Consider the following 15105-nt stretch of genomic DNA (forward strand, 5'->3'; position numbering starts at 1 on the left):
CTTAGTTAAGATGTTGTACTGAAGTGTATGGGCCCTGATCCAATCCCTGGTGTCCTTATAGGGAGACAAGAGACACACAGCCACAGAGGACAAGGCCATATGAGATGGAGGCAGAGACTGGAGAGATGCCGCCACAAGCCAAGGATGTGTGGGGCCACCAGGAGCTGGGGGAGGTGAGGAACAGATTCTCCAGAGAGCCTGTGGAGGGAACCAGCCTACCAACACCTTGGTGCTGGGCTTCTGGCCTCAGAACTCAGACAGTGAATCTGTGTTGTTTGAAGCCTCCTAGTTTGGTCCTTGGTTACAGCAGCCCCAGGACACTCAGTCCCCAGCAGCCCCTGCAGCAAATCTCAGTGTCTCTCCCCCCATCTGTTTGCAGAGGCCCCATCAACGAACAAATGCAGACAACTCTTCCTGGAGTTTTGCATTAAAGACAAGAAGCTGGGGGCACAGCGAGGGGGACATGAGGTCAAGGCGCTGCTGCTTTGTTAGGTAGGGGAGATTGAGCATGTTTGTATCCTGATGGGAATGGACAAGCAGCAGGAGCATCTGATGGCACAGCAACCAGGGGGCCACCCCTTAAGGACAGGTGGGCCGGCTTGCCTTGGAGCATGGGTGCTTGCTCACAGGCTCGGGGCAAGGCACAGATGCGGGAGGCACAGACGCGGCAGTGGGAGCAGCTGGGTCCATCTTCTCCCAGCTCTGGGCACAGGTGGGAGGCACAGTGCGTGCTTTCCCTGCAGGCTTCCTGTGCTTCGCCCCGAGCCATCTCCCCAGGTCTGAGTTCCTCTGCTGGTCCAGGAGGGTCTCAGTGCGGTGGGACAAACTCGTTCCATTGGTGGATGGAGACACACCCAGTGTGGACAGAGGCTGCAAGCATCAGAGGGCGTGTCCATGCGGCAGTATTGGTGTCATGGCCATAAGGTTGGCACTTCCTACAGACTCCGGCCTTGCATTTTCAGCAGCTGGAGCTGTTCACAGCATCCTTCTCACAGGAGTTTTGGGAGCACAACCAGGTGGGGTATGCTTGAAAGCCTTAGAGTGAGGACCAGCACACCCACCCTCCTGGTGTCCCATGCAAAGCTGCTGAAGGGGCTGCTGTGGCTGAAATCTGAGCTCTGGGTGGTGCCTGCAGGAGCCCAAGCAGCTCCAGAGGGAGCCCCATTCCACTTGACCCCTTTTCCTTATGGCAGATTCAGCTTCCCTGGGGTGAAATCGAGGGGCATTTCCCAGTTATCTCCAGGAGTATGAAATTTCCCTCTTGTTTCTGCCCACCTGAGGGGCTGCACTTGGACCCTGCCATGGGAAGAGGTCTGTTCCTCTCTGCCTCCTGGGGGACCCCCTCCTTGTGTGAGTCCCCTCTGAAGCCCTGCAGAACCTGGTCTGGGTCCTGAACAGTCCTGCCGAGGCCTGGCCTGTTGGACACAGATGCTCAAAATCTACTCAGAGCATGCTGGCCCCTGTGGAGTGGTTCCTGTTCCTGGGGGGCTTAAGTGAATGAGGGCGAGTGATTCCTTTAAACATTCTTTATGTGCTGGGCACAGGGCTAGGGGCTCAGGAACCAGGCGTGCGAAACCATGCATGGTCATGGCCTCAAAGGCCGAGCTCACCATATGTGGACACACATGGACAAGGGGGTCACTGACCTGGGAAGGCTGTGAGGGGCACTGGTCAGGGCAGGAAGGCCTTCCTAGAGGAAGTGAGTCAGGTGAGAAGAAGTTAAGGAGCACCGTTCCTCTTCTTGGGACCTTGGGCATGTCTGTGTCCCCAGCTGTAGCAGAATAAGGTGCCATCTATGGATGTGGTGCTGTGTGGTCTCATGTAGCCCCATCCACGGCCTGACCTTCCTGAAATCCATAAACGCTGAGCTACAGATGTCACATGTGTCTAAGATCACTGGACAGAATTAGCATGCCTCAATGAAAATGAACTACGTCCCCAAGTAATGGCACGATTGCAGTTAAACTTATGCAACTTCAGAAATAACGGCAGATAAAGGGCTAGAGACGTAGAAACCGTGGCTGGCATGAGGGAGGAGCTTAGTGAGCCATGGGATGAAGGAATGTGGTGCCTGCAGGAGCCCGAGTGGCCAGGAGCCCTGCTCTTCCCACCGTGGGACTCCTATGGCCTCCCCACCACTCCAGCCTCTGCCTGGGGCTCCTCTAGCCCCTCTAGTTGGGAGAGGTCATCCCCCAACAGAGACACAAAGTATCAAAAAGACAAGCATGCTTTTGTTTCCTGTTTCCGTCAGGTGTTTCTCTGATCCGTAAGAGCCTCCTGCCCGTTCATCCATCAACAGCCTCTGGGGACACCTTCGGCAGCAGGAATCACTGGTGTTGGGTACTGAGTTTGAATTTCTGTGCCCACCTTTGCGCTGGCACAAAGGGGCTGGCTATGTGGAAGCAGAATGTGGGGCCCTTGCTTTAAAGACCTCAGAGGCTGGTTGAAGGGATAAACCTCACACCCCCAAAATTGAGAGAAAACATCAAGGGAGCTGCACCGCAGCACCACCTTGCTCTCTGGGCTTCAGCACCAGGGAGGCGGACAGCTCCATTCACTGTGGCCGCCACCGCCCATCCAGGACTCCAGCCCTCCCCGCATCATCGCTCTGCTTGGCTGTCGGGGGAGGAGAGCGGCTGCTGCTGTGCATGGGTGCTTGGGGGCGGTGGGGGGTGGGGTGCAGAGGAGGCACCACCCTACCCGGGGCCATCACCAACCAATGGGGATGGGAGCGGGTAGATAAATGCCCCAGCCTCCCCAGCGTCGGTGGACAGTTTGGAAGTGCATTCATTCTCCATGGCTTCCCAGAGGGCCCCCAGCAGGCCTGAGCAGCAGCTCTTGTGAAACTGCCCTCCATGGGCTGCTCTCTCTTCCTGTCTCACTGTGTGCTCCGTCCCTCACTTCAGCTTCCTGGTCTCACATCCCAAACACACTACCTTCGTCCAAGTCCTTGTCTCCACCAGGGCTTACATTTGGGGTGCCTAGAAAAGGAGAGAGCATATAATCAATGCCAGGGTGAGTGGGGGGACACCCAGAGCCATGAGGTCCCAAGGAGGGGGCGATGGCAGGGTGGCCCGTGAGGCAGGTGGTCTGGGCCCAATCCCCGGCTCAGGATGGACAGAAGGCAGGAGCAGCCTCTGTGGGGGCTGGTGACAGTGTGAGCTGGCCCAGCAGTGGGTGGGCTTGGCTCCAAGGGTGCCACAGGGACTGTGAAGCAGGCTGGAGAGGGTGGCGAGCGGGCCTCCAGTGGGAAAACCAGGCATGGCACTGAGGCGGGCAGGTAAGTTCAGCCCTACACTCCTCCTCCTTCCGGCCGGACTCTCACGTGGATCTCTCCTTCTGGCTGTGCAGGTTGGATCTATGAACACGAGACACAGAAACACCAGCTGGAGGAGCCCAGGAGGCCCAGCAGGTGAGGTTATCCACAGAATAGGCACGCCGCCCTAGTCCATGGATCACTGAGTGCCCAGACCAGGGCTTCAGGGGGTTCCAGCCGAGGCTTTGTGAACCGGATCCTGGGTCACTGAGTAACCAGACTGGTCTCAGGAGGTTCCAGCTGAGGCTTTGTGAACCAGATCCTGGGTCACTGAGTGCCCGGACCAGGGGTTCAGGAGGTTCCGGCCGAGGCTTTATGAACCGGATCCTCCTCTTTGCGTTTCAAACAGCGGGAACCATCTTAGTCCATGGGCCACTGAGTGCCTGGACCAGGGGTTCAGGAGGTTCCGGACGAGGCTTTATGAACCGGATCCTCCTCTTTGCATTTCAAACAGTGGGAACCATCTTAGTCCATGGGCCACTGAGTGCCCGGACCAGGGCTTCAGGGGGTTCCAGCCGAGGCTTTGTGAACCAGATCCTGGGTCATTGAGTGCCCGGACCAGGGGTTCAGGAGGTTCTGGCCGAGGCTTTATGAACCGGATCCTCCTCTTTGCGTTTCAAACAGCGGGAACCATCGTAGTCCATGGGCCACTGAGTGCCCGGACCAGGGCCCCGGGGCTTCCTGACAGCAGGAACAACAGGAATCATTCAAACCCTGGAGCCCAGAGGGCAGGACGGGAGCGGCCTTTTGTCCCCCGCGGGCAGGCCAGGGAGGTGGACAGGCCGGGAGCCTGAAGCCTGAGCAGCTGGAGGCTCGCTCATTCTCCCGTGGTCACTGTGTTCCCGGAGCCCCAACAGAGGGCCAATTGTCCCACGGGGCGGTGCCTGGTGGGTGTGGTGTCTTGGCGGCAGCCACTGCCTGGCTGTTCTCAGGATCCCAATCCCAGGTGAAGGCTGCAGTCCTCTTGCTGTGTGTGGACTATTTAGCTCCGTGGGCGGCCACCTTGCCATGGGGCCACAGCAGCCATTCCAGAGGCTCCCCCAGTGCCCTCCTCGCCCGGGGGGGGGTGCTCCCGGGTGTGGTCCGGCTGAGGAGTCTCACTCGCAGGAAAGGTGGCGTGTGACGGGCTGGAGCCGGCCTGCGAAGTCTGCCTGGTGGCCATGGCTCAGGGGCCTGTGTCTCCCGGACGCCCCCAGCGGGGCCTCTCTTGAAGGGACTTTGTGCTCCTGCCAGGAGAAAACAGCCCTAACAGCTGCCTCCTGGGCCATTTCCAAACATTCGTGTGTCAGGCCAGAGAGCGCCAGTTCGTTGCCCTTTTGGGTGGTTCCAAACGTGTGGAGTTGGGGCCCTGGCAGCTTCGGACCACCAGCCCCCCTTCACTGAGGGGTTCGTCATCACCAAGCCTCAGCCAGAGATGTTAAACTGGAAAAACAATCACGGACCCCCGTGGGGGAAGCAGCTTCTGGTCTGGGGACAGTCATGAGCTCTGCATGCAGCTGCCGGTGTCCCTTCTCGGTGCCTGGCGGGTATCAGGGCTCACCCTTGGCCTGGCCACACCTACCGCCTCTCAGGCCCACACCTCTTCCCGGAAGACACCTGGAGGCTTCAACACCGGCTCACGCCCTTTCCTGGAAGAAACCTGGAGGCTCTGACGCCGGCCCACACTCCTTCCCGAAGAAACCTGGAGGCTTGGACGCCGGCCCATACCCATTTTTGGACACCGGGGGCTTCAATATCTGTGGCATCAGCTCCTCAGCTCTCTCTTCCCTCAGCATCCCACTGACCCGAAATTCCAGGAGATCCCGAGATGGGCCAAACACAAAACAAGAAAACAACAAAAACACCCTCTCCAGAAAGTAGAGAGGAGGCTCGGAGTGAAGGTGTGAAGTGCTGTGCCCGGCACAAAGTTCATCCGGACAGAGCGGCTCCTTCCCATCTGAAGCTCCCATTTTCCTACAGAAATGAGTTCCGACATGCACTGCACAGCTGCTCTCTCTCCGCTTTGCAAAGCAGGAACTCATGATGTCTGATGAGAATCCACTCTGCTCTGGTCTGAGCTGGGGCAAATCTTCGTTTGTCCTCCGCCTGTCCAACCCAGCCCTCGCCTGCAGGGCATCTCAGAGCCCAGCACCTTCCCTGACGCTCTGCTGAGCCCGGAGCCACTTGGAGCTCAGGAACAGCAGAGGGAGGGAGGCCACGGGGTCTCAGCACAGAACCAGCAAGTCCGAGGCTGGACATCTGAGCAGCGGGTGGTTGACAGGGCCCATGGGCAGACCCCGCGGGCAGAGGACCGGGGTCTCTGCCTCACCCGCTTCCACCGCCCTTGGGTGCACCTGGCCAAGGCCGTCAGCAAACCGAGCCAGGCCTGTGTCCTGGTTCCCTCATGGGCTCATGGTCCTCCTGCCACCCTGCGAGAGCACCCCCGTGCACGCTGCCTGCAGCTCCCAGCCGCGAACGGCAGAGGCCCAGTCCCGCCGTCACACCCTCGTCCCGCCTGGCTTTCAGCGACGTCACCTTTGCCTGGCAACATTCAGGCGGGGCTGCTCAGGCCTGCTGATTCCATCATTTAAAGACGCCCATTTCTTCTAAGCCAGGGATTTTATGACGCTGAGGATTAGAAGCTGTTATCCCAACCAACCCTGGAGCACTCTGTTCTGATTTGATGGTAAGCTTCACTAATAAACTGTTTAAAACATACGCTAATTGTGTTTATTGTATTCTTTAATTATCATATGTATCATTAAGGATGTGCTTCTCCTGGAATCCGAGGGCCTTGCAGCCTCTCCCCGCCGTGTGTGCATGCGTGCACATGTCTGTGTCTCCATGCGTGTCTGTGTGTGTGTGTGTGTGTGTTCCTAGTGCACAGAACATTTACCTTTTACAAATTAGAAGAAACATCTGTGGGAGCCTGTGGTCAGTTCGGCCTTCATTTAAAGTGAGGATTTAGACAGTCTCTGAGCTTTGCCGCCCCTGGAAGCAGAGGCGGGAAACGACCGGATAAAACAGAACGATGGGGAGTTTCATCCTGTCATTTATTTTGAGTCTGACTACAGATCATTATTTCTCATTTTGGATTTCAGATGGTTTGAAATGCAAGTCTAGCTGCTCAACCATGGGGCTCTAGAAAGAGGTGCCTGGCTATCACTCAAGGGGTTGTGGGAGCCCAGGACGGTCGGAGGCGCTAGGAGCTCTGGGATTGCCTGTGAGGCCGCGCAGAGACAGGAGTTTAAGATGAATGAAGCACCCCAACCTTGCGCTCTGGGAATGCGCCGTGTTTAAGGCTCCCCTGGTCCTCTCCCGGGTGCCCCGGACCCTTCCCAAGGGCTGCTCTCCCTCTCACCGAGAGCCCCCTTGCCTCCGACCGCACCCCTGTGGCACCTGGTCAGCTGCGTTCACGTCTGCAGGTCGGCCTCTATGGGGGGGACCCACACAGCGTCCTGCCTCACTTCAGTAGTGTTTCCATTCAGACCAGATGTCCAGCCAAGGACGTTCTGCTCCCAGGTAAGACCTGTGCACCTGCCTCATCACCGTGGGCCAGTGCAGGGCCTGGCAGGAGCTGAGGGTCCTGGCACTGCTCAGGGAGGGTCCCGGGGCCCTGCAGCTCACGTGGTCCTTACCAGAATCAGGCCCTGGCCCTGCGGACTGGCCAAAAACAGGGCCCAAGCCAAGCCGCGTTCCCGTGGGTGGACGTCCACTTATTAAGAAGGCCTGTGTCCACAGGAGGCGTGATTCTGGGCGTGTGTGCACACGTGTGTGCGTGTGCGTGAATCTGACACAGAACACCTCAGCTGTTCTAACAGCCTGCAGTGCGCACCGGGGTCTTTCTGGAGGAGACCTGAGCTGGCAGAGGGCTGTGCGGCTGTCCTCCCTCCCCTGTCCCAGCCGCATGTGGAGAAAGAGGGGCTGAGGGACGTGAGGGGGTGGTGCTGTCGGCCGGGGTGAGCCCAGCTGTGGCTGCACCAGGTTCATGACCCTGTCTGTGGCATCCAGAGCTCACTCTGATTGCCAAGTGCAAACACCGGGCTGAGTGAGGCACTGATTCTTAAGGGCAGAAAAATTCATGCTGAGTGCTCAGCAAGGGTGTACACAGATGCGTCTGGGCCCACTGGGTGAAGGCACGCGGGACCCCTGTGACTCCGGGGTTGACCCTGCTGGGCCCAGGAAGCAGCGAGCAGGAAAACAAGCCTCACCTCTGTTGGAAGTGGGCTTCCTGGTGCGGGGGTCCCCACTCCCCACCCTGCAGCCCCTCCTCACGTCTCTGCTCTTCCGGCTGCCACCAGGCTCCCGGCACGCGGCCCTTCTTCCTTCTGAGTTGTTTTTCAGGGGCTGCGCTGGGGTCCCACGGACACCTCGCCAGAATCAGCTGGGTTCCCATGGGAAGGGGAAGTGCCGCTCCTGCGTCCCTGCACCCTTGCCCTCTGTGTGGTGTGGCGTGTCTATCCCGACTGGCGAGGCCGCGAGCCCATAGTTTGCTGCTGCTCCTTCACCGTCCGTGCTCATTCCTCAGCCTGGTACAGCCCCAACCCCCTCCCACCTTTGTGTGGTTCCAGGCCCATGCATGACACGCGTGTTCCATTTCCACGTGCTACCGGCACCAGAGCCCATTCTGTACATGCTCGTTTTTACAACCGCTTTTTAAATCAGCGAAGAGAGGAAAGGAGGTGACTCTACGCTCACAGCCTCTTGTAGCCGCCTTTCCCGGGCTCTGTGCGCCTGGGCTCCAGTCACCGTCGGGGCCCCGTGCCTGACCCCTGGGCAGCGTCCTCTTCCGTTTCTTACGAGGTGGCTCCATGCTAGGGCAGCCGAATGCCCCAGAGAAATGGGCAAAGGTGTGCAGAAGTTATCCCTGCCCAACAGGAGGGAGCACGGCCCCAGGTTTACCTGCTGTGCCTTCCAGGGAACCCCTTGCAACCTCAGCCTGCAGGGACCCAGGGCGTGGGTTCTGGATTTAGACAGGTATGGGCCTCCTCGCATCAGCCGTGTAGACTTGGGACACGCATTCGTGTCTGGACGCAGTTTCCTCACCTCCAGACGGGAATGGCTGCAGTTCCGTGATCACAGTTCAGCGAGGATGAAGCAACCCCTCCAGGGGAAGCCTTTCCTTACAGGACCAGGCAGGTGGAGGCTCTGAGCAGAGGCTGCCATTGTTCCTCTTGCTGCAATGATGAGCGTCTCCAGCACCTGGGCTGCAGCTGTGGTGTAACAGGTGCGATCAGAACACCTGCCCAGCACCGGGCTCAGGCTCAGAGCGTCCTGAGAGTGGAAGGGGTGGGGAGGCTGGCGGCGGTGGTGGTGAGGCGGGAGCACCTGCAGGCTGGGGTCTCAGGCAGCCCCCGGAGCTTGCTGGGAGAGGGTCCCGAGCTGGGGACCCAGAGCTGACTTGAGCTTTGCTGATGACAGACATAGCTCATCAGACAGTTGTCACCCAGGCACCTGAGAACATGGTACTACTCAGGGAAGGGCACATGGGCATTAGCCAGTCTGTAAACATACCGCAAACTCTATAGAAGTAATTGAATAGTAACTATCATGTAATTGCAGGGTAATCACATGGTTATTTTTGCTTTGCAAATTAAAGTGTTACTATGAGATTGAACAATTATGCGGGGTAATTATACCCTGATTCACATGCTAACTCCAAGCAAAATCATCAGGTAAACCCTAGGGTGGGTAGTTACTGTATAAATATGGAGTCGTTGTGACCACATCATTATACATTAGTGGGAGAGTAGCTGGCCTCCTTTGGGATAAGCCTCCCACTGCACCTGACCCTGACTTCCCTACTGAGCACGGCTAGACCCCGAGAGCAACACCGGAAGCCCAGAGGCAGGGCGCCCCGAGACCTCGCACCAGGGGACCTGCTTGATGGGGCCCGTTTTTGAGCATGAAGCACATTCTGAGAAAGTTGTTCTTTTCCTGACACGCTGGGGTTTCGGCAGGGCTGGCTGCCAGCACATTAGGGTGAGAACTGGCTGCAGAGACTGCCTCTGTCACAACCTGGCCTGCAGGCTGGGCCACCTGCACCACACCTGTGCCCCAGGCTGTTCAACTCACTTGTGACTTCGGCCTCACGGCAACCCCACAGGTAACCCCAAGAGCGGGAGGCACCTGTGTGTCAGTCACGCCACCCCCAGGCCTGGAAAAGTACCAGCACCTGTCAGGCAGGCCTGCGTCCTCCCGGAACTTAGTCACTCACACATATGCTGCGATGAGCCACACCCACCCAAGATGCCATCTCTGTCCCTGGGTGCAGGTGACCAGACAGAGGCTGGGGAGATCGTCCCTGGGTGCAGGTTACCAGACAGAGGCTGGGGAGATTGTCCCTGGGTGCGGGCGACCAGACGGAGGCTGGGGAGATCGTCCCTGGGTGCGGGCGACCAGACGGAGGCTGGGGAGATCGTCCCTGGGTGCGGGCGACCAGACGGAGGCTGGGGAGATTTACCCAAAGCCCCCGTTGTTATGCGGTGCAACACTCAGCTCCCAGTGTGCCCTCAGGACCGCGGGCCAGGCTCTCAGCCGTGCGCTGCTGGCATCTGGGACCGAGGGTCTTGGTGGGGGCTGCTCTGACTGTGGCAGCGTGGCAGCTTCCCCGGCCTCACCCATGGGATGGCGGTAGCATCCTCTCCCTATTATACGTTTAATTATAACAATTAAAAATATCTCCAGACACTGTCAAATGTCCCCCGGGGACAAACATTGACTGGTGATCTGGCTTTTACAGGAAAAGGTTGCCCACGCTGGGTCATGACTGGAGTATTGGCTCAAACCAAGTAGCTTCAGGAAATTGAAAAAGGGGATTGTGAGTGACTCAGGGAATTGATAAGTTAAACTATTTCCAATATACACTGGGTGCTATAAATTCATTATATGTATTAAACGCCAAGACCAGGAGTGCTCTGTAAGCCATCAGTGAGCTGCCAAGGTGGCGGGAGCCACATCTGGGAGCCCTCAGTCACATGTTCTGCTTGGGAAGTGCCTGGGGTTGAGGGGGCTGCACACAGTAGGCTCTCAGGCACACAGTAGGTGCTCAGGCATGTAGTAGATGCTCATGCCAGGCCACTGAGACTCATAGGCCCTGTCATCAGCTGAGCATGTTTCTTAGACGAAAGACCTGGCCGCTCCCCCTGCCTCGCTTTTTTTTTTTTTTTTTTTTTTGAGATGAAGTCTCACTCTGTCACTCAGGCTGGAGTGCGGTGGCACGATCTCTGCTCACTGCATCCTCCGCTTCCTGGGTTCAAGCAACTCTCCTGCCTCAGCCTCCTGAGTAGCTGGGACTGCAGGAGCATGCCACCAGCACGCCTGGCTAATTTTTTATATTTTTAGTAGAGACGTGGCTTCACAGTGTTAGCCAGGATGGTCTCGATCTCCTGACCTTGTGATCCGCCCACCTTGGCCTCCCAGGGTGCTGGGATTACAGGCGTGAGCCACTGCGCCAGGACCCCAAGGTGCTGGGATTACAGGCGTGAGCCACTGCGCCTGGCCCCCAAGATGCTTTTACATTTCCACTGGACCCTTGCGGGAGGCGTTGGCTGGGCCGCCCTCCAGGACACTTTGTTCCCTCTGCTCAGGGCATTCTCAAGGCCTCAGCGACACTCGGGCCAGCCTTCCCTTCCCCAGGACACCTGCCCGTTCCCATCCCTGGATGTCCCAGGCCCCAGGAACCCCTGTGCCAGCCATCCTGGCAGCCCACCTGCCCACCTGACACCCTCCCCACACCAGCCTGGGATCCACGGAAAGGCGCGGATGTGTCACCCTTGGGAGCCAAGGCTGCACTGACACCAGGGCCTGTTGTGACCTCAGTTTAAGGGCAGCAAAGCTGTGAGCCAGGTGAGGCTTCTTGGCCAGCTGGAGGCTCTCCTGGGACACGGTGGGGAGTTATTGGGGAGGGCCCAGCATCCCCTTGAAATAGAGTGTTGGGACCTGAAGCAAGAGTCAAGGATACCGGCCGTCCTGGCTGATGGCCCTGAGGCTGGTCTGAGTGCTGCCCTGAGGGGCTGGATGATCCCTGCAGCCTCCTCCCCTCTCGGGGCCTCCGTTAGGAGAGGGCCAGGAAGGTCCTTCCAGCCTCGGCATCCGTGTCTGCCTGTGGACAGAGGCAGGCCTCGCCCCTGGCCCGCCTTCCTTGTAACCTTGACCCCACGAGAGACGCTGGGTCGGGGCGTTGGTGGATGGTGCCCTGCCCTGCATCGCCCCAGGGCGTTGGTGCCCTGCCCTGCATCACCAGCAGCAGCACTCTCCTTGATTAAGCAGCAAGGCAAGGTGGGTGCTGACTCGGAGTCACTCACAGACCGGAAGGCGAATTGCAGAGCCGCACCCTGTAATTTAGTCAAAATGAAAAGGGCAGGAAGGAAAGGTCAATACTGTTTTAAATTAGTCTAACTGCTCCTTTATGTAGAGGACACTGTTGCTCCAAAGGACTGGCGATTTAGCAGTTGGGGAGAAAAGGTCAAGCTTCTTGGTCCTAGGGCAGGTGATAAAAGCCAGTTAAATTTTTGGAAATCATACCTGCAGGTTGTCAATTCTGGCAAATTCTGTACAAATTAGTCTACTCAAAGGCTTGAAGAGAAGGCGTTGCAAACCTCACTGGCAAGCCAGGTGGACTGGGGTGGGATCACCCATACAGGCATGGGGAGGGGAAGGCCTGGGGCTGGGGTGGGGGAGACGGTCAGGCCCTGGCCCGCTCCATCCAGTTTCCTGCAGACCGGATCCCAGGCCCTCCTCACAGAGCACCCCACAGAAGGGCTGCCCCGCAGGGAGGCGCTGCAGAGGGCACCCCAGGTGTCCCCTTGCACTTGGGGTGTGCAAATCTGATCCTTGTCTGCATGAGCGGACAGAGACGGTGCCGGAACGACCCTGTTCAATGTGTAGCACCAACTCCCGGCCACCCACACCAGACACCCTCACCCCCAGTCTGGGGTTTCTGGAGAAGGGGACCAGGGGCGGCTCCCTTCTCCCCGCAGGCTTGCAGGGCTGCTCCTGACCTGTGCTGCAGCTCCTGGCTCCTGTGGGGCCCAGGTTCCCGGGGCTGCGTGGGAGACACAGAAGTGGGGGCACCTCTGCAGCACCCACATCCTGCCGACGCCATGCACGTGAGTGTGCATGTGGGGTGGGGGTGCGCCAGGAAGGCAAAAATCCCAAATGTCAGCGCCCGGTGATTTGAGGAGTTCAGACAAAGCCTTCCCTGGGGCTGTCCTCGGCCCACTTCCCCATCATCCCAATGTCCCTGCAGCCCTTGAAATGGCTCGGATGTGGGGCAGGAGGGCTGGGCGGATGCTGATCTGAGGCCGAGGTTGATGGATTCCGGCTCCCCCAGTGCCGATCCGGCTGCTGCCCCACGTGGGGCTTTGAGGCTGCGGCAACAGAGCCGGTGGGACACGCTCCTGATGCCAGACCCAGGGGTAAGAGCTGCCCCTGCTCCACGGTCTGCGCCACGATGGCTGCCAGAGCGAAAATGGGAGGGAGAGAAGCGCTGTCAGGGCCTCCCAGGGAGGGTGTGTGGCGTGTGGCTTGCTAAGCACCCTCTTTTCTGATCCCGCCCTGAGCAGCTCCCTGGGACTTTTGTTGGTCAAAGCTTCAGCTGTGGTCAGAGGATCCAACGCTGCCGTCAACAGGCAGCTGCTGCCGTATGGCTGCAGATGTGGTTTCTGGAACAGACGGGCCCAGCCCTGCAAGGTGGGCTGGCTCTTTGGCTCTCGAGAGCACCATGGCACAGTGCTGATCTGGGTCCACACGGCCCAGCCACCCGGTCAGCTCGCCTGGTTCTTACATTTCCACTCCACAAACAGAACCCAGACCCAGATCTGCTTCCTCCGCCTCCCGCCCTCCTCGCCCCGCACCGTTTCTTGTCCCACAGAAGCTGTCATGGGTGCTGTGTACCCCACAGGGCGGGAGAGAAAGGTGTGTCCAGGAGCAATCTCGGGAAACAGGGGGCAGAGGATGCGGTGCAGAGCCGAGCTCCGGAGCCACCTTCCTGACCGCCAGAGCCTGACTGCATCCGTATGGCATGAGGTCGGTATCTAGGAGGCCATACTCTTTACCTAACATCCAGGACACAGGAAAAGGACGGAAACAGAAAAAAATACATAAATAAATTCAAGATGCATTTTAAAGAACATGAAAAACTTTAAAAGGACGGGTAATTGTCTAACATTTTGTTAATTCAATCAGGCTTGCAATTTAAAAATAGCTTTGCCTTTTACTGAAAAAGAAATTAATTATAATTTCTTACTGAATCCAGGGAGAGAATTCGGGACTAGGGGGTTCCCTGAGAAGGTCTTCTTACACGTTACCCTCCAATGTCCTGTGGCCAAGGGAGCTTCAACCCCCTCTTTACGAGGGTTCTGGTGGCTGGAGAACTCAGAGACGGCTCTAAAAAAATTGCAAGCTGGCCAGGCACGGTGGCTCACCCCCGTATTCCCAGCACTTTAGGAGGCTGAGGCAGGCAGATCACCTGAGGTCAGGAGTTTGAGACCATCCTGGCCAACACGGTGAATCCCCGTCTCTACTAAAAATACAAAAATTAGCTGGACGTGGTGGCGCACGCCTGTAATCCCAGCTACTCAGGGGGCTGAGGCAGGAGAATCACTTGAACTTGGGAGGTGGAGGTCGCAGTGAGCCAAGATGGTGCCATTGCACCCCAGCCTGGGCGACAGAGCAAGACTTCATCTCAAAAAAATAAAAAAATGTAAACATCGCAAGCTGCACCCAGGTGTGAATCTGGAGGGCGCCTCCTTGGAAAACTTGGCTGGTGACCGCACCCTCAGTTCAAGCTCACCGGCCGCCCTTCCCTGTGCACACACGTGAGCTCTCCAGTATGTTTGGAATATCCCAGAGCCGCTGTCTCCTGGCTGCCCGGCCTCTGTGAGCCGCACTCCAGCCTGAAGGCCAAGACGGCTGCTCTGGAGAAAGAACTTCCCCTGGTGCTGAAGTCCCGAAGGAGAGCCCCATGGGCATGGGGAGGGGAGGGTGCCTCGCCCCCAAGGCTGCGCTGCTCCGCGGCCTGGCCGGGACCACCACACAGAGGCTTCTCTAGGAAACAAGCCACACTCAGTGTGGCAGCAGTGAAGTGCTTTTCTCAGCTTCCTGCTTTCCTCCAGAGAGTAAACCAGTGCCTGACCGTCCGGTTCTCCCTGAATCAACACTCACCGAAAGGAGCTGGTGGAGGGGCCCGTGGGCGACAAACAGCCACAAACCAGACCCCGGGGTCTCCGGAGCTGGGGGCTCTGGGTGGCCCAGGGGTCGTTAATGGGCACGGTTTCCAGTCCAGTCCAGGCCAGCTGTGGTGGGGCTCAGACCCGTCCAGACACTGGGAGCCAGTCACCCCCAGAATAACGAGCTGGGCCTCGAGTTCCAAGTCATCTTTGAGCAGCCGTGTGTCAGCACCGCTGTCCCTGACCACCCCGTGCCGGTCTGCCTCCGTCTCCTCCTTCTCGCTGTACCCCAGGTCGGGAGCTAAAGGGCAATTCAGAGCCTGCTGCCTGCAGGCAAAACGTCTCCCCAGCACCGCAAGTCTGCGCAATTTGAGGCCCAGAAACCCCCTGGACGTAGCTTCTGCTTTTCAAAAACTGTTCATTCGTTTAGCCCCAGGGGACCTCATCCCTGTATGTCCACACTGGGCATCCCAAGGAAGCTGGGGGGGAACCGCACCTGCATCCCTCCAACTCAGAAACCCCCTTCTGCACCGGCAGCTCCGGGCCCGCACTAAGTGTGCAGCGTGGCCATCCTGCGGCTGAGACACAGGGTGTCCGGCAGCGTTTGGATGGATTCTACAATATTTGGGACAGACTTAC

At 58.2% G+C, this 15105-nt stretch overlaps 1 long non-coding RNA gene across 1 annotated transcript; it reads left to right on the forward strand.

Moving 5' to 3' along the window:
* Positions 1-61: 61 nt before the first annotated feature.
* Positions 62-6013, forward strand: LINC01749 (long intergenic non-protein coding RNA 1749). Its single transcript, XR_010947461.1, has 2 exons — positions 62-173; positions 380-6013. It is a non-coding gene; the product is annotated as a long intergenic non-protein coding RNA 1749 (long non-coding RNA).
* The last annotated feature ends 9092 nt before the right edge of the window (positions 6014-15105 follow it).

Source organism: Homo sapiens, chromosome 20 (genome assembly GCF_000001405.40).
Source record: "Homo sapiens chromosome 20, GRCh38.p14 Primary Assembly".
Lineage (NCBI taxonomy): Eukaryota > Metazoa > Chordata > Mammalia > Primates > Hominidae > Homo > Homo sapiens.